We start from the raw sequence: 24,493 nt of genomic DNA on the forward strand, positions 1-24,493 counted from the left end.
CACTGCTAAGTTCTTCCTTCCTCCTTCTTATCCGCTCAGTGGCATTGTGAGGGGCCTTAACAAACCAGGCCAGCCACCAGATATGCTGGCAGCTACAACTAGGTTCTTGGAAAAGATGGATGTGTCCCCCAAAATTGTTAAAACTCATGCAAATCCAACTTCAAATCCTTGCTTGGCCACCAACCAAGCTCAATGGCACTGGATCCATTCCTTAACTTCTCTAGAAACCACTGTTCTCTTCTGAGATGAGACTAGGGTTTTGGGGAGGATGAAATGTGATAACACACATCAGCATTTGCTATTATGCCTGGCATGTAGCAAGTGCCCAGGCAAAAATAGGCTCTTATTTTTTATTACTTTTGCTGCTGCTGCAAGAGGACATGTAATGAAAGAATCAAGAATTCCACCCTTGTAAGATAAATTCTCCCCAGCTGCTGATTTCAGGGAACCCTGTTTGTTTCCTCTGTAGCTTCCATCTGCTTGATTCTTGCCTGTGGAGCCTGGCATGATGAGCTGCTACAGTCTGGAAATGCAGATGCTGTTTCCTGTCCGGAAGCTCAGGGGCTGGTTCTTATAGTGGCCCGAGCAGTGGTGCCTGCAGCTGGGCCGATTGCATTTAGTTAAGTGACTCAGATACTGTAAGTAGGAACTGAGCAGGGAGTCCTGAAAAAGACAGGCAAGGCCACACTCAGGGAAGCCAGCCCCCACTGGAGCTGTCATTCCTCCCCCTTCCCTGAGCACTCAGCCCCTTTGAAGGAGAGCAAAGAAATTGTGCTGAGCTTTAATGAGGAATCAGCTGGGCGCACTTTGCCACAGGCCTGGCTGGAGGCAGAAAGAAATGAACAGGCCCCCAGGAGTGAGCGACCCACTGCAGCTAAGTCATTCCCACCATCTCTGGATGTGACCAGAGACCCTGTGGTCATGTGGCTTCAAGCAGCCCTAGCTCACATGTGCCACTTCCCTGCAATCCCACCAACTGCTGAGCGTGCCCTGCCATCTGAGGTAGAATCAACATCAGACATCGTCAGGAGGCCAGCAATGCTGCCAGTGCAGAGTGAGGGGAGTGGCAGGCTTCCCCGGGAAATGTCAGCATTTATTGCTTTTCCCATTCGTGTTGACCCTCAGCAAGAAAATGTTCCAAATAGCATGAAGTCATCCCCCCTTTTTGGGGGGTCCTGGACCCAGTAATAACATCTTCCCGAAGGGCAATGAGTCTGTCTTTAACCTTGCCCTCTCTGGCAGGTGTGTATCAATGTGGTTTCTAGAAGCATCTCTGGGCTGCCCGGTCCCTGCCTGTGGCCACCTTCCCTTCTGGGAAAGTAACAGCCCCCGCTCCACGGTCTAGGCTCTGCTGCTCTCCTCCCGCTCCTCTGGAAACCCACTAAGTTATCTTAATTACCATTCCTCCTCAGTCTCTGCCAAGAAGTGGGGAGATTTATAATTGGATCAGTCAAATATTTGCTATGGTTTATTTCTTTGCCTCTCGAGCTCTCGTAAAAGTTGCATTTTCATGCCACTTTGGGGTATGACTGATGACTCAAAGGCACAGCCTTCACATTGCATGCCAACGTGGGTTATTTTTCAGAGGCCAGGGAAAAGGAGAGAACTGGGCGGGGAGAGGTGGTGTTTACTTTGGGTTATTGTGCTATCATCCTCTGGGTGGCTGCAAGAGACACAAGCGGCTTTGGGAGGCAAACTTCCTCCCGCAGCCAGCCGGTGCACAGACACATCCTTCTATTGGGATTTGGTCATGTGCCTCCTAAACCCCTTCCAGAGCTTCTGCAGACCTAATGGGTAGGACCACTACAGAGTAACCTCTTTAGTCAACGAGGCACAGTTTGGTCTCCCAAAGCATCCCCATGTCCCGAATTGATCACAGTGAGGTCCTAGAACAGAGGAGCCAGATGTCCCCAATACTAAGCCTGAGTTATCAATTCCCAGTGTTGAGGGATGAAAAGGAAACTCTGGCCAGGGCCTGAGCTTTTGGAAAATGCTCTCCTTCTAGTGTCAGCCAGTCTGCCAAGCAAGCTGGCCAGGCTACAGCTTAGGAACCCTAGAGAGCAGAGGCTCCCCTACACCAGATGGCCTCCTTGCAAGCCAGCTTCTCACTGGCCCCCAGTCTCCCTATCCTGGAAGGCAGTCTCCATGGCTGGCTCAGTTTATCCTCCCTGCATTTCTAGCCTCTAGCCCTTGCCCAAGTTATAGCAGCAGTGAATGATGCTGTGTGATGCTGCTTGACACGTGTTAATCTATGCATAGTGACCCTATGTGCACTCTAGAGCACTTTGAGATAGAAAGGAGGAACAAGAGGTATAAACTGGGACACTCCTGGGTAATTGTGATAAACAAACACCCTACACATAATAGAGTGGAATTTGACCAACAGAAGATGCTACCATCTTTTCCTGGGTGATCCTGTCCTGTTGTCCTATAAGAAATTATCTTGACCGGGCACGGTGGCTCACGCCTATAGTTCCAGCACTTCAGGAGGCCAAGGCGGGCGGATCACGAGGTCAGGAGTTCGAGACCAGTCTGGCCAACATAGTGAAATCCCATCTCTGCTAAAGATACAAAAAATTACCCGGGTGTGGTAGCAGGTGCCTGTAATCCCAGCTACTCGGGAGGCTGAGGCTGGAGAATTGCTTGAACCCGAGAGGTGGAGGTTTCAGTGAGCCAAGATCAAGCCATTGCATTCCAGCCTGGGTGACAGAGCGAGACTCCATCTCAAAAAAAAAAAAAAGAAAGAAAGAAATGATCTTGAGGACCATTTGGCCTGACCTGGGAAGGAAGAAGGGCAGTAGTTCTGAAGTCCTTACTCTTCACCACCCTACCCTGCAGATGAAACCCCTGTCTTCCTGGAGTTTATGTTCTTAGTAGAAAGACAACACACATAAAAATAAATTATATCATTTTAGGGGGTAATAAGTGCTTTGAAGATAATAAAGCACAATAAAGGGCTACAGGATTGAGACACATCAGACACCATATCATATCAGAGTCAAGATCTTCTCCCAGAGCCCCTGGCTAGCCGATTCTTCCTTAAATGAAAACTGCCCTCTGTGCTTCTGTGCAGGGGGACTCTGAGGAGCCAGCCAAAATAGATGTCTTCTCTTTCCCCTGAAAAATGCCTCTTCTTAGAGTAATTTACTGGGCTGGACGGTGAGCACTGCCACTAGTCCTAAGCCATTTCTGTTTCCCTTGGCTGGTCAGGCGGTTCGGCAAGAGATGACTGATGCCCAAATTAGTAATGAGCAATGGCCCCACACAAGTAATCACCTTCCCCAAACTCTTCCTCATGGGGATGATTACTTGGACCCGAAATGAAGTAGATCCTTCTCACCTCGGCACCAAGGAAGTTACAGCCATTCCTCTGGCTGACAGCAATTTGTAGACATGGGTCTTTGCAGTTGGACATTTTCGAGGTTGCTAAGGAACAAATGCTTTGATTAGAAAGGTCTCCAAAAGCAGCATCAGTTTGTCATATCACTTTAAATCATTTATTTTATCCCACAAAGACAGCTGTGACCAATGGGATATGGGGTAGAGAGAAGCTAAACACTCATTTCCTTGAGAAATGGAGAAAATTTCAACTTCTAAGCAGCGGCCGTCACCAGCGCCCCACGTGTGAAACTAGAACCACGCACTGCTCGTCCGTAATCATTATGATTTGCAAGTAGGTGACTCATAGTCCCTAGGTACTTAATAAAATGGTTGTTATCTTCCTGGCCCTGCCCTAAGCATTATCTCATGTCATCCTTATAACCTCCCTGAATGTTAGGTGTGATTATTCCCTGGTATGAAAACCAAGAAGAAGGTAAAAGTAGATTTGCCCAACATCAAAGAACAGTAAGTGACAGAGTCAGAATTCAAACCCAGGTTTGTCTGATGGCAAAGCCTTTGTGTTTAAGATTATAGAGTCTTTTGTTTTCAGTGATCACATTTCAGGTGGAAAAACTAGCGATTCTGACGACGGGAAAGGCACATTAGGAGATTCCTGGAGTTTCATTCTGTGAAGTTCGTAAAAGGGGTTATAGTTGATGTCTGTAACCCATAAAAACCTTTTTATGGAAGGGAAAGTGGAGAGATTGCTTAATCCTACAGTGGTGGTTTTCATCGGCTAAAACCTACACTTTGAATGTTCTCTGGAAGTCAGCATGCAAGTGACTTTTCTATGCAGTGATTTTGCAAGAGTTCACAAGATTAGTCCAGTTCTACTGGGGTTTTATCGATTTTCTTGTCAACAAGTAAGAAACACTGGTGTCCTCTTTGCCTTCTCCTTCATCATCTCTGTCCAGCCCATGGTCAAGCCCTGTCACCTCTTCCTTAGAAATGTTCCTCCAAAGTTGTCCCCCGCTTCTCATTCACTGTCCTGATCAAACCCTTTTCACCTCACCCCTGGGTTTCTGCAATCACTTCCTAATTGGTCCTCCTACTTTCATTTTTTCTCCCTTTAGAATATCTCATATCCTTCCTACAAACTAATTCCTTAAAACATCCCTTTCATCACATCAGTCACTGCTCAAGAGTCTTCAATAGCTCCCACTTGCCTGCTACAGCATTTCATCTATTATTTAGAACAGGCCTCTCTTGGGTCCCGTTTGACCTCCCCATCCCCTTATCCTGGTAGGCTTAGTTGACCACTCTGTCTCTCATTAATCACTTCCATTTCTGAACCTGGTTTCCACTGAAACAAAGTTAAACTTTAATTGCTGGTTTATCCAAGGCTAGGCACTATAAGGGCATGAACATAAACACCAAGCCAATCTATGTCTAAATTTTTGCTTGGCCACTTAGGAGCTGTGTGACTTTAGAAAAGTTGCTTGACTTCTCTGAGCCTCAGCTTTCTTATCTGTAAAATATGAATGTAAATAACACCAAGATAGGTACCAAATCAGGGTTTCTTCAAGAATTGAATAAAATGATAATAACGATCATGACGGCTAACATGTATTTTGTGTTTGCTGGGTGCCAGGCACTGTCTAAATATTATCTGAATCCTCACAACAACCCCATAACATAGATACTCTTATTTTCAGTTTGCCAATGGGAAAACCAAGGCACAGACAGGAGAAGCTAGTAAGCACCTCATTCAGGATTTTCTCAGGCTCCATAGCCCTCATCATAGCCCTTCTGCTGTGCCATTTCTCCTAGTAAATGATCAATAAAATGGTAGCTGGTAACATGGGTTCATAATTCCTTATCTGAAACTCTCAGGAAACCAATTACATTTTGGAATTCAGAATTTGGAGGATTATGGAAAAGTTATACTTTGCATATCCTCTGTATTACATAATGCAGAGGGGGACTGGAGCAACAGCATATACCACTCCCCCCACCACACACACACACACACACACACACACACACACACACACACACACGATGCACACATACAAACAAAAAGAAAAAAACTTTGGGTTAAAGCTCTTTGGATTTCAGGATAACAGACAAGAGATTGTGGCCTAGAGTAATAAAAGTATTAATAGTAGCAATAATTATAAAGCATAATAAATAATGACTGTTATTATTGTTACACATTTTGCGGCTCTTGTTTTCCTGGATAAGTTCATAGCAAAATGTGCTACAAAAAAGGTCTTTCTCCATTAACAAATGGGTTCGGGGGGAAGGTACCAGGTATGGGACCACATCCACACCTTGTCTCATGCATGGTACTCTCTCTCCTTTTCCCAGTATGACTTCATGGAACGTCTGGACGGGAAGGAGAAGTGGAGTGTGGTTGAGTCTCCCAGGGAACGCCGGAGCATACAGACCTTGGTTCAGAATGAAGCCGTGTTTGTGCAGTACCTGGATGTGGGCCTGTGGCATCTGGCCTTCTACAATGATGGAAAAGACAAAGAGATGGTTTCCTTCAATACTGTTGTCCTAGGTAGGTGTGGGGTCTCTGAGATGGTACGCCATGAAGGGAAGATGGAAATGTTCTGGGCTTCTCTGCAGAAGACACATCTTCTAAGGTAGTTTCTACTACAGATGACAACCAACCAGGATCCTTTGTTTAGGCCTTATAGTGTCACCCACCTGAAACTAGCTCTGATTAAATGGAAATGCTGCTTAAACCATGAAAAATTCACCAAGGATGAAATTGAGGTTAAGAGTTTGGGTCAGACTGCCTGGGTTGAGTCCTGACCACACTACCTAAGCAAATCACTTGACTTTGATAAGCCTCAGTTTCCTCATAGTAAAATAGGAACTAACGTGAATGCCCACCTCATAGGGCCATTGTGGGGATTAAATAAAACAAATATATAAATCTCTAAGCATATAGTAGAGAAACTACTGGCGATTCACATCAGCTCAGAATTTTTCTTAAAAATTAAGGGAACCTCAAAATACTAATAAAAAGTGATTTTTAAAAAAACTTTAAATCAGAGAAATTATATAGACATTTAAAAATCATGTTTTTATTCTTGAGTAGGTAAATCTCAAAGTGTTTTAATTAAGTACTTATCATTTTGGCATAGGGTAGCCCTGCTTTCTATTAGCTATCAAGAGAAAAGCGAAGTTTCAACCAAAATGTCCTTATACATGCAATACAAAGCTCTAAAAGGGTCATTCACTTGAGGAAGATTTCATAAAGTTTTTCTACCACAAACCTTAAGTATGTTAACAAGCAAAGAAGCTGCAGATATTTTCATTAAAGTTATGTTATTGGGATTTTTAATCTTCTCCTGACAATAATAATTGATCCTGGGTAGAACCTCTGTGAATCAGGGAAGATTATTAGACCCATTTCACAGAAGAATAAATTGAGATTCAGAAAGCTGAATCTCTCGAAGACCCAGGTTGTGGAAACAGTGGAAATGGCATGGGCTTCTGGGTCTTGTCCACTGCCCTTGTACAACACCATGTGTCCCAAAAACTTTTAGCTGTAGATCTCAAGATTCACTGGGGAAGCCCCCACAGGGTGGCTTCTTGAAGAAAGACCTGGTAGCTCCAGCATTAAATCCAAGATTTTCTTCCCCACATCTTAACTGGGCAATTCACTTATCTCTCTGAGCCTCAGTTTCATCAGCTGTGAAAAGGTAATGACCACGTCCAGGAAGTAGAGGGTGATGTGAGTATCATGACAAATAAAACGTGTGTGGCATGTGTTGGTGGTCACTAAGTGACATCCGATTATTTTTTTTCCTTAGGAATATGTCTAGTATCGCTCTTTTTCTATTGATTACATTTTAAGAACTTTTCTATTGGTCCCATGGATTTTCCTGAGGGGCTCCCTGACTCTTCAAAGAGCTATGTAATCCAACCTGAAATTCAGGTGGCAATTCTTCATCAGTGGCCACAACTTCAGAAAGGTGTAAAATCATATAGAGTTTTGGTACTGACCATGGGATTCAAGTCAATCCTTATTCCTTCTGCTAAGCAAAGACTGACCCTATCAAAGCTGGCCAAATGGTCCAAAGCAGGAGTTGGCTCCACTGTAGCCCATGGGCCTAATCTGGCCCACTGCCTGTTTTTATGAATAAAGTTTTATTGGAGCAGCCCCATACATCTGTTTACATATTGTCTATGGCAGCTTTCCCACTGTCATGGCAGAGTTGAGTCATTGCAGCAGAGACCATATGGCCCACAAAGCCTAAATCCTTACTCTCTGTCCCTTTACAGACAAAGTTTGCCAACCCCTACTCTAAAGTCATGTCATAAACTTTGTATAATGAAAGTCAGTGGAGAAGCGTTCCACAGAGGGAAAATACCCAGAATTAGGTTAGGTACCAACGGGGAAGAAAAGTAATAGGGTAGAGACTAGCTCACAAAAGGAAAAAACTAGAAACAAATTTGGAACCAGCTTGAGATGTTGAGATTTTTAAAAATCTTTAGTTTAAGAACATGATGAGAAACGACTTCCTTTGTGTCACTCTGTGTTTGAACTCAAGAGGCTTGACACGTACGTGACAGCACACACCCTGCACAGCAGCTGGCTCAGCTGGGGTCTACAAGAATTCAGAGAAGTGGTTCATAACAACAAGAACAGCTATGCATTTATAGAGCATCAACGGTATGCTAGCCCCAGTATTATGCCTTCGTGTCTGTTGCTTCCTCAACCCATGGAGTAGCCACATGAGGTAGCACTATCACAATTCTCTGCATTTTCCAACTGAGGAAGCCAAGACTAAATGCAGTTAAAAAACTTGCCCAAGGTCACACACAGCCAGGAAAAGGTGAAATCAGGATTCATACTTTCCAGAGCCTGTGCTTTTAACCACTGGATTTCTTTGGATTCTAGCCAACTAAATCCTTTTCCCTCTAAACTTAGCACCTTTTCTGGGGTTCGGATTATTTCCCAACAACTTCTGTCCTCCTTTTCCTTTATCCACATGGACACAGGCATTGTGGTAGTGAAATTCCCTTCCCCCAGGCCATCACTCACCCTGGCCTGTTGGAGCTGGGAATAGCAATTCTCCCAAGAGGATCTCTCTTGTCTGGACTGTAGCTCAAAGAGCAAGTCAAAGGTAATTGGCCTAATAGTTGGGCAGACATCTTGATGGAGCAATGATAGTAATTGGCCTGAAATGCAGGGAAAAGAACAGTGTTTTATTTGGTTCAGAGGTTCTCCCACACATTCCTATCATCAGAACATTCTCCATCAAGAGCAGCCAGGAGTGCTGTAAACCCCCGTGATGTGAAACAGAAGGAAAATGTTAGACAGGTGCCTACCAGCGATCACACTAAATATATCTTTGACTCAGGGAAGTCTTTTGATGTGTTTTGGAGAGAAGCAGCCTGCTTTCAGAAACAAGTTTCTTCTCGAGACAACAGAGCAGCTTTCTGGAAGCACGATGCCAGCCTCCACTTGGATAAAATCCCATTTCCTGGGCTTGATCTCACATCTGGAGGCCACTTCTTCCTCAAGAAAATGTAAACAAAAAGGAAAACTGATAATATCTTAAAAATAATATTTAACTGAGTGCTGGAGAAAGGGGATTGAAATGTGAGCTCCTTTATATTTTAGCTTTGCCACGTCATTGTTTTTCCCTCAGAAACTGTGAAAATACTTTAAATATGAGTTGTTGGGAAAGTTAAATGAAAAATACTCTTTATTATAATTTTTGTTTATTTTGGATTCTCCTACCCTCCCACACATGCACACACACAGACACACATACACATAGACATACACATACACACAGGCACACACACACATAAGCACACTTCAGCAACTATTTACCAAGGACCTATTGTATACCAAGCATTGAGAATACCTCGATGAACAGTTCAGATCGAGAGCTTGGTGAGAGAAGATAGATGTATATAAGAATTACAGGAGCAAAGAGGAAGTGGTACAAAGCCCAGATTGAGGAAAGTGAGGAAAACACCCAGGAGCTGAGACACAATGGTAAATACCTCAAGTGAAGCCCTCCAGCCAAGCAAAGAGACTGTGCAAAGATCTCGGGCCTTTTCCATGGGACTGTGGTGGCAAAGAGCTTCCTGGACCTTTGCTGCTTGATCGCCAAAGATGTAAGTTTTGAGAACAGGGAGCCTTGACCTCAAGAATGTCAATTTCCACCAAACCATCCCCAGACCCAGATGCTCAGTGAGAAGCAATCTCTACCTAGCTGTAGGAATGACTTCAAAAAATGCAAGCTGGAGAATGATGTTCCTCTGTTTAAATGTTTCATTTGTACCCAGAAGTTCCAGAATAGAACCCAAGTCATCCACATGTTCTACAGCAGGGGTCCTCAACCCTAGGGCCGCAGATCAGTATTCACCATAATGTCAAATCAGTGGAAGCCCTCAGCTTGTTTTCCTGCAACTAGATGATCCCATCTGGGGGTCATGGGGGACAGTAATAGATCATCAGGCATTAGATTCTCATAAGGAGCATGCAACCCAGATCCCTCCATGTGCAGATCACAATGAGGTCTGTGGCCCATTAGGAACTGGGCCGCAGAGCAAGAGATGAGCAGTAGGTGAGCAAGTGAAGCTTTATCTTTATTTACAGTTGCTCTTCATTGCTTGCATTACTGACTGAGCTCCGCCCCCTGTCAGATCAGCAGCAGCATTAGATTATCATAGGAGGGCAAACCCTATTGTGAACTGTGCATGCGAGGGATCTAGGTTGTATGCTCCTTGTGAGAATCTAACGCCTGATGATCTGTCACTGTCTCCCATCACCCCTAGATGGGACCATCTAGTTGCAGAAAAACAAGCTCAGGGCGCCCACTGATTTGACATTATGGTGAGTTGTATAGTTATTTCATTATATGTTACAATGTAATAATAATAGAAATAAAATGCACAGTAAATGTGTGTGCTTGAATCATTCCGAAACCATCCCCAAGCCCCAGTCTGTAGAACAATTGTCTTCCATGGAACCAGTCCCTGGTGGCAAAAAGGTTGGGGACCGCTGGTCTACATGTCCCTGGATGATCCATCTCTCTGCCTGGATCTCTCCAAACTCAACTAATGTCACACCCTCCCTTGTTTGCTACCCTGCATCCACATTGGATTCAGTTCCTCTCTTTCCCACCCCAGAGCCTTTGCATAAGCTATTCCTCTGACCTGGAATACCCTTCCCTCAGCTCTTTGCTTGCTGGTTTCAGCTTATCCTTCAGAGTCACCTGCATAGAGTAGAGAGGCCCTCCCTGAACATTCTCTTTAAGTAGCTTCCTTTCGTTACTCCATCTCAGTATCTTATTCTGTTCAAAGCACTTATTGTAATTTTTGCTTATTTAATTTGTTTGTTTTTTTAGCTTGTATTCTCTATTATTGTGCAAAGCTTTATGAGGGCTTTGCATATGAGGGGACTATATCTGTCTTTGTCACCATGGTATCTCCAATGCCTTGTTATATAGTGTTTTGCATATAATAAGTGCTCAGTTAGTAGACTGAATCATATGTAAGAATGTGACAGATCTGAGATCTTACCCTAATTGCAAGCTAGCATGTTAGCCTGACACAGTTTCATGGATGCCATCAGAAGACATGAGACTCATGGGTCAGAGACAAGGGACTTTATTACTCAGAGCAATGCAATATCCAGAGTGTCAGCACATGTTCTGTTCCCCAAGCCCCAGTTCCCTCAGAGTAACACCTCAGGGCCTCCCTCAGGTCGGGTGATGCCAGTGCATATGTCATGGGTTGCACTGCAGGAGAAAAATCCTGAGCTTACTGAACCCGAGCCTCTTAGAATGGGAAGTAAGCTTGCTTATTCTTTGTTCCAGAGGGAGATATTGTCTTTACTATACTGGGTAATAAGTAAACCTGCCCTTTACTCAGGAGAGAGACACTATCGCTGTCTCCCAAGGCTGTTCCCAATACAGACAGCCTTGAAAAGATAGTTCAGAACTAAGGCAGTCAATGCCTGTGCTCTCAAGACATTCAGAAACATGACAGACCCAGGGAGAATGATCTCCCAGCACCGTGTGAAATTGCTGATTTGCTGATCTACAAAAGCACCTAACGCTTTTTGAATGAGTGATGAATTCAAAAAATAAATGAATAAATGAAACAAACAGGTAGCCACCTGGATGCTTCTCAGCCGACATTTACACAGCCAACCTCAAGGAGTTTCAGTCTGAAATGTTAATTGTTGTTACACATTAAGGAAACTGGCTTGATGGGGCCTATGGTCTTTTGTCTGATTTTGAAAAAGCAAATATACTCATTGAGTTTTCCTCAGAGTGCCAGAAACCAACTACAGTGTGGTTCTGGAAGATGAGAGCTGAGAAAGGAAACACTGTAGAAAGAAAACAAAACTGTGTGATTCGAAGTTTCAATCCAGAGTGGGAGTAAATGGGAAATCAGGTTTAAAGGCAACACATCCTTTATCACTCTCAGGTACCTCCATTAGGAACAATTAGACTTCACAGCCTTTCATACCATGTCACCAGGTCAAAGTCCCCAACTCTCCAAGGGTGATATAACATCACATTTTGAGAATAGTGGCTTATACTTTCCTTTTCATCTTAGTAATTTGGAACCTGAAAGTCTAAATGTATTTTGTTTTAAGACAAAAATTAGGATTATGGTAATAATTTTTAAAGAATATGACTATTTCTGTGCAGACCCAAATCAACATTAAATAGTTCCAAAATCATTCCTTTGAAGGTATTACTTGAGAGTACACATAGAAAGGTAAATCACAAGATAAGACGGTGATGCAGGTTAGAGCCAAATGTGAACTAATTCATTTTCATGAAAAATAACATCCTTAAAAGCTAAGCATAAAAGGACATTTGTATAACCGCAAACCTCCTATTTAAAGAATTCCAAAATCCTGCCTAATTTAAGCAGTCTATGCATTTGGGTTTTTCTTTTATTAGAATTCCTTAAAGCAAGGAATATTTTTACTCTACAAATCTGAGGTTAGGAATAACTACTCCTATTTTGAAGAATCACTCTCTATACCTAAGGCTAAAAACTGATACCCTGCACATCAGACCAAATCTTAACTGAGTGGGATGATGAAGGTTGGGGGGTGGTTGTGGGTACAGTGTTTAAAAACTTGTCAACATTTAAACGTGGGAGCTTTCATAGTTTTTAAATCCAGACTGATAGTTTATTTTTTCTATTGTTTTGTTTTGTTTGTTTGTTTTGTTTTTGAAATTGAGTCTCGCTCTGTCACCCAGGCTGGAGTGCAATGGCGCAATCTCAGCTCACTGCAACCTCTGCCTCCTGGGTTCAAGCTATTTTCCTGCCTCAGCCTCCCAAGTAACTGGGATTACAGGCATGCATCACCACGTCCAGCTAATTGTGTGTGTGCGTGTGTGTGTGTGTGTGTGTGTATTTTTAGTAGTGATGGGTTTTTACCATGTTGGCCAGGCTAGTCTCAGACTCCTGACCTCATGTGATCCACTTGCCTCAGCCTCCCAAAGTGCTGAGATTACAGCTGTGAGCCACTGTGATTGATGAGACTGGTAGTTTATTCTTAAAAAGTGAAAGTTACAGCACTACTAGCCCTGCATTCCTGCCTGGGGCCATCACCTGGAGAGCACTGTTCAAGCTGTCCCAGTCCCCACCACTCCCTATTCTCTTCCTTCACTCATTCATATTGCTGACCGATCCCCTATGACAGGCATCTGAGATTACTACCACTGGTCTTTAAAAGTGGCAAGTTACTGACGGTTAAATTACTGCACCAGTAGACAGAGGAAAAGGTAAACACTACATTTATCTCTTTTTCAGATTCAGTGCAGGACTGTCCACGTAACTGCCATGGGAATGGTGAATGTGTGTCCGGGGTGTGTCACTGTTTCCCAGGATTTCTAGGAGCAGACTGTGCTAAAGGTATGTGCCGCCACTTCCCTGCTATGGTTGGAAAACAGACCCTCCCTAGGCTTCTCTGAGCGGGTAACAGAAGGGACATCCAAGTAGCCTTCCCATCAAATCCCCCGAGACATCTTGCAAGCCCATGCATGCCAGAAGGCATAAGCCTTCGTAAAGAGTAGGCTTTGATTTATGACCATTGGCCAACGTACCTATAGGAGCAGGGCAGTTATCCTTGGCACTGAGGTGTGCTGAGAAGAAAGATGTGCTAAAAATGAGATGGTCGGATTTCCTGTAAAAGCAGAAGTGAATTACCATCACTCCTTTCTTATAATCATTAACTTCTATGTAATGGAAGATTAAGCATCTCAGGGTTAGTAAATTTCATTCATTCTGGCCAGCTACACTCTTAATCTAGGAAGCGCTATTTATCTTGGTGGAATCGGTTTTAAATTGTATTATTAATTTATCTACACTGCTGTGCACAGAATAGCTGGAGCCCTGAGATTCTTGGGGGAAAGGTAATATAAGAAAGAAAATGCTTCTCACAAGAACAGAGAATTTAGAGGCTGCACACCTTGCTTGCAAAACACCTTCAGTGTGACCTTCAAATGGCTCTATCAGAGGCAGGTATAGTGAAGAGCAGAGCGTCTCACACTTTTACCCACAGGCACACACACAGACACAGACACAGATACACAGACACATAGACACACAAGGGTATATGTCTAAATACAAGTAGGAAATTGAAACAAAACTCACAAAATGATATTTTACTCCATGTTTCTTTTCTATTTCATTTTTTATTTTATTTTATTTTTTTGAGATAGAGTCTCACTGTCGCCCAAACTGGAATGCAGCGGCACGATCTTGGCTCACTGCAATCTCCCTGTCCTGGTTTCAAGCAATTATCCTACCTCAGCCTCCCAAGTAGCTGGAATTACAGGCATGTGCCACCACACCCGGCTAATTTTTGTATTTTTAGTAAAGACAGGGTTTCACTATGTTGGCCAGGCTGGTCTCGAACTCCTGACCTCAAGTCATCCGCCCACCTTATCCTCCCAAAGTGCTAGGATTACAGGCATGAGCCACTGTGCCCGGCCTCGTTTTTTTTTAATACCAGTTATTACCCATTACACTGATTTTCCACCCACCAATAGGCCATATCACAGTTTGAAAAATAGTGAAGGGGCAGTTGAGTGCACTTGCTGCAGAGTCAGGCAATCCTGAGTTCCAATCCCAGCTCTGCCATTGGGTATCTGACATTAAGTGACTGATTTAACATTTCTGAACCTTGGTTTCCTCATCTGGAAAAGTGGGGAGTTACTTCCTAGGTTTATTGTGAGGATAGTGTAAGATAACACACACAAAGCTCTTAGCAGGGCACAATAAGGCCTCAAAGGGCTTGACTTTCTTATTTAATTATGCATACGATTTTATTTATTTATATGTTTAACTAATCTTCCCGTTATTTTCATGTGTGCTTTATTAAAAGACCTTCCTGCCTTGACTTTCTGCAAGACAATCATTAATAAAGCTGCTCTGTAAATACTAAATAGTGCCTCTCCTTTCCCACCCTCACCGCAATTGCTCTGAAAAATACTATTTCAAATAGTCTCAATATTTCAAAGATGTGAGGGTTCCAGGCTTACGAATGCTGATAAGTGAAGGGGGCTTTCTGTACTTAAAGTTCTGGGTCTGATGGCACGTGCGTGAGACTTAATTCCTAAATGACACCGCTTACAGGCATCTCTTCTGTCACACAGTATGGTGAAAGCTTCGATAAACTTAAAAAGAAGGCAAGGTTTGTAGTTCTCCTTGAAGAGGTCCTTCACATCCCTTGTAAGTTGGATTCCTAGGTATTTTATTCTCTTCGTAGCAATTGTGAATGGGAGTTCACTCATGATTTGGCTCTCTGTTTGTCTATTGTTGGTATATAGGAATGCTTGTGATTTTTGCACATTGATTTTGTATCCTGAGACTTTGCTGAAGTTGCTTATCAGGTTAAGGAGATTTTGGGCTGAGACGATGGGGTTTTCCAAATATACAATCACGTCATCTGCAAACCACAATGAGATACCGTCTCATGCCAGTTAGAATGGTGATCATTAAAAAGTCAGGAAACAACAGATGCTGGAGAGGATCTGGAGAAATAGGAATGCCTTTACACTGTTGGTGGGAGTATAAATTAGTTCAACCATTGTGGAAGATAGTGTGGCGATTCCTCAAGGATCTAGAACCAGAAATACCATTTGCCCCAGCAATCCCATTACTGGGTATATACCCAAAGGATTATAAATCATTCTACTATAAAGACATATGCACACGTATGTTTTATTGCAGCACTATTCACAATAGCAAAGACTTGGAACCAACCCAAATGCCCATCAATAATAGACTGGATAAAGTAAATGTGGCACATATACACCACGAAATACTATGCAGCCATAAAAAAGGATGAGTTCATATCCTTTGCAGGGACATGGATGAAGCTGGAAACCATTATTCTCAACAAACTAACACAGGAACAGAAAACCAAACACTGCATGTTCTCACTCATAAGTGAGAGTTGAACAATGAGAACACATGGACACAGGGAGGGGAACATCACACAGTGAGGCCTGTCAGGGGGTTGGGGGCTAGGGGAGAGATAGCATTAGAAGAAATACCTAATGTAGATGATGGGTTGATGGGTGCAGCAAACTATTATGGGTGCAGCAAACCAGATGACAGGTTGATGGGTGCAGCAAACCATATGTATACCTATGTAACAAACCTGCACATTCTGCACATGTATTCCAAAACTTCAAGTATAATTAAAAAAAAAAAAAAAAAGACAAGATGCTGCCCGACAGCTCTCAGGGCTCTGTGTCAGGCCAGAAGCCACCCGACAGCTCTCTGGGCTGTGCCAGGCTTAGTGCACTCTGTCAATGGCAGGGGGCACATCAGCAAAGTGAACTGTGGAGACTGGACCTCCTCCTAGCGCCTCCCTCAGGCTCTGAGGGTCACTGATGGAGCAAGGAGAACAGAGAACAGCTTTTCCTAGCGGAGGCTTTAAAGGAAGGAAAATCTCAGTGTCATTTGAATGGCTTTCCTTGCATAATCTAATTTTCCTGGGAGTGAAGACATTAATGAGAAGAAGGACAGAGTCGGCCTTTTATATGTGGCTGCAAATGGGCTGAACCCTCAGCCGCACGGCCCGTGAGCTGTAAATGTATATTAACACTGACACACATCGATGTATTATTAATCCTAAAAACCATGTGTGCTCCGACTGCACATCCAGTGACTGGCCTTTTAAACCTAAGTACCCCGGCCGTTTAAGAACCCTTTGCTCTAAATCCATTTGCAGATGAACGTCCATTCTACATTATGGATCTGTAATGGGGTGTCCATTTAGCTGCTTAAAAGGACTCTCGGTGTGTGTTTTGCATTCACCACCTGCAGTGTGGCAGGGCGCACACTGCAAGTGTGCATTAGCCATGGTATATAATTGATCCTTGTGAAACAAATATTGAGTGGATGTTAAGAGTAGTTATTCCTCCATACTCAGTCGCTGCTCCTGAAATCGGGCTTTGAACTTGTATACTTTAATTTAGCTGTTGCACACAGTGGACAAAATTGAAGTGTTTAAAGAATAAAATTGCTTTTCCCCGATTTCTCCATTTATTCTGGGTGAAGTTGGTTGAAGAGTGTTAGGAGTAGGATTCTACCTTTTAGCCCTATAGATGTTTTTCCCTTAGTATTTTTTTAAATGGCCACAGTTTAAGCTACTTCATTGTTAACAGAGTGAAATTTCCCCTCATTCTAAAGCCTTCTTTCCCAGTCTTTGATCTTTCATGTACCACCTTTATTATTTCTGGCAATTTCATGGGACAGAAGTATTATTAATTACTTAACATGTTTCTTCAAGTCAATTCATTATAGTTCCATAGTTTTTTTGTTTTTGTGTGTGTGTGTGTGCGTTTTGTTGTTGTTTTTTTTGAGATAGAATTTTGCTTTTGTTGCCCAGGCTGGAGTGTAATGGTGCAATCTCGGCTCACCGCAACCTCCGCCTCCTGGGTTCAAGTGATTCACCTGCCTCAGCCTCCTGAGTAGCTGGGATTACAGGCATGTGCCACCATGAATGGCTAATTTTGTATGTTTAGTAAAGACGGGGTTTCTCCATGTTGGTCAGGCTGGTCTTGAACTCCCGACCTCAGGTGATCCACCCGCCTCAGCCTCCCAAAGTGCTGGGATTACAGGCGTGAGCCACCTCGCCCAGCGATAAATTTATTTTAAAAAGAACAATGTCAAAACCAGAAAATTGAAAAAGGAAAAACTATAGGAAATGTTAGCGCCCCCATTAACCCTATCTAGAGAGTAATATTTTCACTTTGATTAGCATCCAAGCCAAGTCAGCTTCTTACACACTTATTTCACATCAAGAATGCCAAAAGGGGACTTGAGCACACATAAGCCTGGCGTCTGGAGAGACTCAAGCCTTGAACACCTCAACTCATAACTATTGGCTCCTAAAATAACAAAATTCCTTGACCACACCTGTGGGATGAAATGAGAAACAAGTAAACACAAGCACACAGGTTTAACTGTACCAGGTTCAAGTGCAAAAATCCAATGATTAGCACTGAATTTATTTCTGAAATGTTAAGCCTATACTTCCAGTTGTTTTTAAATAACAATAGCTTTTAAGTACTCAATATGCATCAGATATTGTGCAAAGTACTTAATAGATACTCTTATTTGTCTTCATATCAATGATATGAGGTAAATTCTATTTTTTTTAATTATACTTCAAGTTTTAGGGTACATGTGCACAACGTGCATGTTTGTTACATATGTATACATGTGCCATGTTGGTGTGCTGCACCCATTAACTCATCATTTAACATTAGGTATGTCTCCTAATGCTATCCCTCCCCGCCTCCCCCCACCCCACAACAGGCCCCAGTGTGTGCTGTTCCCCTTCCTGTGTCCATGTGTTCTCATTGTTCAATTCCCACCTATGAGCGAGAACATGCGGTGTTTGGTTTTTTGTCCTTGCGATAGTTTGCTGAGAATGACAGTTTCCAGCTTTAACCAATCCTCCCCACTACAATTTTGTAAACATTTTGTATTGAAATCATTTGGGACTTGCAGACAAGCTGCACAGATAGAACACAGAGTTTCCATACAGAGCGCACCCAGCTTCCCCTATGTCCACATTTTAAATTTCCGTAACTCAAAGATCAAAACCAAGACATTAACATCCATACAAAGCCATTAGCTAATTTACAGACTTTTCCTAACTTTGCCCTTTCTTTCTCATCCAGGATCCCACATTGCATTTAATCGTCACGCCCCCTTCATCCCTTTAACCTGACCAGTCTGTGACAGTTCCTCGTTACTCCTTGTCTTTTATGACCTTGACCCTTTAGAAGAGCATTAGTCAGGTATTTTGTGGAGTGTCTCTCGGTATGGGTCTGTCTGATATTTTCCGGTGATTGGATTGACGTTATGCATTTTTAGCAAGATGCTATGCCCTCCTCAGTGCATTACATCAGAGATGCACTTCTGATTTTAATCAGAAAAAAAGTAAAATGTGGTTGTATAAGTGAGTATGTGTGTGTGTGAGTGTGTGTGCCTTTGTTCCCCCTCACACATAAGGCAGAGACGTGGGAAGCCTCGATCCCATTGGTCCTGCACAATTTAGCAGTGGCTATGACAAGTTGTCACTCACAAACAACTTTTGGGCTTAAGAAGCAGCTGACTGTTGGCAGGGAGTAACCCTGAGCCAACAGAATGAGGTAATTGGCTAGCAAGTGCCGAGACAGGTGCACCTGAGTCTCCTGCTCCCCAGAACAGGGCACCCCATCTCCCGGCTGTGGGCCATGATCGGTGTCCTTCTTTCTTTTCTGGTTTGTTTGTTTGTTTGTTTGTTTGTTTGTTTGTTTGTTTTTTGAGACAGAGATTTGCTCTGTCACCCAGGCTGGAGTACAGTGGTGCAATCTCAGCTCACTGCAACCTCCTTCTCCCAGGTTCTAAGCGATTCTACTGCCTCAGCCTCCAGAGTAGCTGGGATTACCAGTGCATACCACCACACCCAGCTAATTTTGGATTTTTCATAGAGACGAGGTTTCACCATGTCAGCCAGGCTGGTCTCAAACTCCTGATCTCAAGTGATCCACCTGCCTCGGCCTCCCAAAGTGCTGGGATTACAGGTGTGAGCCACCAAGCCAGGCCTGTCCTTCTTTCTTGATAAAAACTCTTAAAAGGCCCCAAGCATAAGGTCCTCCCTCATCACAAATTCGCATTCACCTTTGTTCCTTCACTGACAGCTGTGCCCGGAATTCCCTGGCTCTGCCAGTTTCTGTGACTGCAGGCAGCCGGCAGACTCAGGCCCTCCTGCCAGGGGGAGAATTTGCCACGTTAGCAAGAGAGACTCCCATCACATCCAAGCGACCGGGTATGTGTCCAAGTGACAGAAATGCGGATTTACTCTCTTGACCTCACACTGCGCCTCCCGTGCCCTCAGATGTGCAGTGCAAATGGCAGCTCCTTGTCTTCTTATAAACCTGCCAGTCTGCATCAGGCATCTGAAGACATCCTTGCAGTGAATGGAGGAATCAGTCAGCATGCGTTTGCAAGAGCGTTTATTCCGCAGCCCTCACAATCTCGGGGGCCCTGAGAGGATCCAATGGCAAAATGAAACTGACCTGCCATGGAAATAACATGGAATGGATCTAACACATTGTCCTGAGTCAGTCGAGGGGACAGAACTTATTCGTACATTCAGTGAATGTGTGTGATCTGCCCACTGTGAGACAGGTACTGCACTAAGAGCCAGACTAGAGGGAGGAGCGAGGGAACCACAGGCTCTGCCTTCTGAGAGCTTCTGGTCTGACCAGTTTGTATTAAAAGCAAGGGGGTAACATAAATGGGAGTCCAAAATACTGTGATACGGACTTTGAATGCCATAGACATTCCAAAGGAGAAAATAAGGAAGTTTATAAAGCAATAAAATGTGCGTGTTATAAATGGGGGAGTAAGTTCCCCTGGTGGTGTCTTTAAGGATCACTCCAACTGTGGAACTCACGCTGGGAGAGGCATGTGAAATTCAGGGACTTATTATACTCACAGATTCTAGAGAGGGAGCCACAGCACACATGCAGAGGGCTGTGTAGGACCAGCTCCAAGGGATTGGGTTCAGCCAGGCAGGTGGGAGCTGAGAGAAAGTGAGAGCTGGTGGCCAAGTGCCTTTATTGCTGAGTCAGGGTGGAGCAAAAGGCATGGGGGTATTTTACTGGTGCATTTGAATGTCAGTAGATCACAGTCAGGGAAGGCAGGAAGGGGAACCTGGGGCAGAGGCCGGCCTTATCACACAGGTGCACCTGGTCTCCTGGGCCGTGAGAGACCGGGTCATGAGGATGCCTGTAAGGCATCATGAACATTTGAAGTTTTCAAAGTTTTTAAAAAATTCACAGTGTTGTGAATCAATGAACATAGCCAATTAGCATCAGGGAATACGGAGAAAATTCCACCAAGAAGACTGAATAGTATAGAATTGCATTAATTGAGCAACTTAATAGGCAAGCTGTTCAGATCCAGGGCCTCAGGAAAAATGGCATTTCTTTCCTGGCAATTTGTAACATTTTCCATCAGGCACCTCTCCTGTCCAGCAATAATTGTGTTTACTATTCAAGTTATTGTTTATTCTACGGTTTTTTGTTATTACTATTTCCCTTGCATGGTTTTCTCATTACTTTAATGCTATTTGTTGTGGGCTAGAGGTTTTTTAATTATTATTCCTTTCCCTTGTATTTGCTTTTATGTGAAGGCTTTAACTTCAGGTGCTTCCTCGGATTGTTTGTAAAGCAGCCTTGCATTTCAGAAGAGCGCTGAGGTGTCTGGGTTTTTTTCTGTTTTGACACTGGCTTCTCAGATGGCTTATTTGGGCTGAGCTTGAGGCCTCAACCTGCAGCAGAAAACACACCAGAGCCGTAGTTGTTAGGTAATGCGTATTTAATAGCTATTAGAAATGACAACTCCTGCTGCTGAACAGCTGTCACTGGAGGCCCAGAAATGCCACAACCACGGGAACATAAAGTCTTCTCTCTGGGGGTTGGTTTCAGCTCCTACCCAGCTTCTGTGGAGCTTTAAAAAAGAAAAAAACAGGAATCTTGCCATTTTTCTCCCGTTAACTGGCAAATGTTCCCACCACCAAATTCCTCATGGCTACATGCCAGCACTAAAAACAAATCATCATCATCATCATCATCATCAGAGCTGGCATTTATTGAGTTCTTACTATATACGCCAACCACCGTGCTGAACAACTACATAATTATGTCATTGAATCATCAGTAGCCCTCATTTATAGACGATTATCATCCCCTTTTATAGATGTGGAAAATGAGGCACACAGAGTTTAAGTAACTTGCTCAAAATCACTGAGCAAGTAAGTGGAATTGTTGGGATTCCAACCAGGCAGTCTGGCCTGGACTTTCAACACTAGACTAGCCATGAGACTGACCTCAGAGGTGAGGCATAAAGGAATTTTGTCTTTGCAGGCAGCTTGTGCGATGGTTACACACTAGAATTCTGAGTTTGAACCCAAGTAAACTTTTCAGGAGAGGAAACAGGAGTTTCCCAGGTAGAAAGTGGGAGAGCCAGAGTTTGAAACAAAAGCCCCTGGCCAGGTGCAGTGGCTCACGCCTGTAATCCCAGCACTCTGGGAGGCCAAGACAGGCAGATCACTTGAGCCCAGCAGTTCATGACCAGCCTGGGCAACGTGGTGCAATCACATCTTTACAAAAACTATGAAAATTAGCTGGGCATGGTAGTGAAGACTGTAATCCCAGCTACTGAGGTGGGTGAGTTTGGAGAATTGCTTGAACCAAGGAGGTGGAGGTTGCAATGAGCAGAGATTTTGCCACTGCACTCCAGCCTGTGCAGTGGTGAGAGAAAGAGACAGAGAGAGAAAGAGAGAGAGAAATCTTCTGACCTCAGAGCCTGATGCTGTTACCCTCTCTCTTCCCAGCCGCCAGGCACGTTCCATCACCTTCCTCTTCCCACCACCTGCCAACTCCTGTTCCGATGACCTCCAACAATTTCTGCTCCATTTTTCCTCTCTATCCTTACAGCTGGATTTTTCTATATAAATATTAAGTTGTGGGAGCCACTGCCCTGCTCACTCGGCTACCAACCTCTCCATGATGGTATTTCTCCTCCCCACCTCCAGAGTTCTCCAGAGTTCTCCCAAAGCTCTTAGGGGCATGTCACTACTGTCCTCAAACACCTTCAGTGGCTCCCAGTCACCTCCCACAATGGTTATAAAAGCTTTGGTTTAAAGACATGGATCTGAAGAGATTGTTACCAATGTGTATTTCCAGGTTTCTCCCCCATGCCAGCCAATCTGACTTGTAGGACTGGTGTGCAGCTCAGGAAGACCCCTTTTTAGCAAGCCTCCTGGGGGGGGGGTCTGATGCAGGTGGTCAGGGGCCACATTCCGAGAATGAAGATCACATTTCTTAGAATGATGTCCAAGGTCATCCACGATCTAAACTGCTCTCGCACTGTCACCTCCCACTGAGGCCTGAACACTCACTCTAAGTTCCCAGTAGTCACCCCTCATAAAGTGTGAGGCCCTGCTTCTTCCTCTTTGCTCAGGCTGATTTTTCAGCTGGAATGTTCTCATCAATCCCAGCCTTTCCTATCAAACTGCTGCTCATCATGGAAAGCCATGCTCACAGGTCACCACCTCCCTGAAGCACCCTCAGATATGACCCTGCAGTCACCTGGGCTTGGCAACATCGCAGCAGTGGCCCCTGCCACATGCCGGCCATCTCCTATCCAGGTGGTTCTCCTGCTGATGACAAGCTTCCAGCAGTCCCCTTTGTACCTCCCTGTATTTAGTTTGGTACCTAGGACAAAATATGTGCCTGCTAAATGTCTGGTTACTTGAATAGAGGAAGCAAGGCTTATAAAGATGAAATATGGCTTGAAAATGTCACAAGAACCAAAGCAAGTGCTAAAGAACAAGGTTCTAATTTGTCGGATCAATCATGCAGCAATAAATCAGCCACCTTTGAGGCATGGAGGGAGGGCATGAGCAAAGGAAGGAAAGAAGGAGGAATGAAAAAAGAATGAAAGAAAAGTTTACAGAAAAGAAATGCCATTTATTCCACAATTTACGTGCATTATGTCATAATAGCCAAGTGATTAAGAAGGAAAGCTGTAGAGTTTGAATTTGCTAGGTTTGAATTATTGCTGCTCTAGTTAACTGAACCCATTTTAGAAAATTACTTAACCCCTCTGAGCCTCGGTTTTCTCATCTGTAAAATGGAGACAACAGCCATATTACCTATTACATTGCTGTGAGGTCCAAAAAGTAAATACATGGAAACTTTGTAGAACCATGCTTGGCACGTATTAAATGTTAGCTAGTATCCACCTTCACAACAAGCCTTTGCAATCATTCATTGTTATTATTCCTATTTTACAGTAAAAGAAACAAAGACTTAGAGAAAGTAAGCTACTTCCCCAAGGTTACATAGCAGGGCCACGTCTGCCTGGTTCTGAAGCTTGTGGCCCTGATAGCCATCCAAAAGAGAGATGTGGCAGGAAGACCCCCCAAATCCAGGGCAGTGTGACCACTCCTGAAGTCCCCAACAATAAGTACTGCCAGCAGCTGGGGCTCTCTGAGCCCCCTCTGGCTCTGTCTCACAATATGCTCTCCTGTCTCCCTTTAATAGACATCTTCCTCTGCACCGCGGAGAACAATGACAAAGCTCTTAGTCCCCTCCCTGAGGGTAGCTGGTCCTCCCCGTCACCAGGAATACTTCCCTCAGAGCTTCCTTCTCTCTCCATGAAGGAGGCTCGGGTCTCAGCTGTCCTTCCTGAGACAGCCAGGGCTGCATCCTAGCTCCTTCAAACCTTCCATCATTCATACCCATCTCCTTCTACCACCCCATCTTGCCCTGAAATCCTCATTAATGCAGACAGGCCATGGACCATGACTGCTGCCCAAAAGAACGTCCCTCAGCACACTGCAGCTGGATGGCCAGATCCCACCTCTCTTTCCTCCCACCCCTGACCTAAAGAAACATACAGGGATTCTTTGGCAGCAAAGGCCCAGAAGCAGGAGCTTGAAGCAGGTGCACTTGGTATATGCTTTGCAGACAGCAACTGAGCAGACACCCTTGGCAAAGTCACTTTTGATAAAATAGCGTAAGAAGAATCGCCACCGCCTATTGAAGATCAACTACATGCTGGGCACTGTGCAAAGGGT

General features: G+C 44.0%; 1 protein-coding gene across 33 annotated transcripts in view; it reads left to right on the top strand.

The window, feature by feature from the left end:
* Nucleotides 1-24,493, top strand: part of TENM2 (teneurin transmembrane protein 2) — a 1,285,129-nt gene that overhangs the window by 1,105,854 nt on the left and 154,782 nt on the right. For all 33 annotated transcript variants that reach the window (XM_047417418.1, NM_001395460.1, XM_017009661.2 and 30 more), the window contains 2 exons: nucleotides 5,692-5,887; nucleotides 13,144-13,245. In XM_047417418.1, the coding sequence (XP_047273374.1) occupies nucleotides 5,692-5,887; nucleotides 13,144-13,245 (298 nt within the window). The remainder of the gene's footprint in view (nucleotides 1-5,691; nucleotides 5,888-13,143; nucleotides 13,246-24,493) is intronic.

The sequence above is a fragment of the Homo sapiens genome, chromosome 5, assembly GCF_000001405.40.
Source record: "Homo sapiens chromosome 5, GRCh38.p14 Primary Assembly".
NCBI classification, from domain to species: Eukaryota; Metazoa; Chordata; class Mammalia; order Primates; family Hominidae; genus Homo; species Homo sapiens.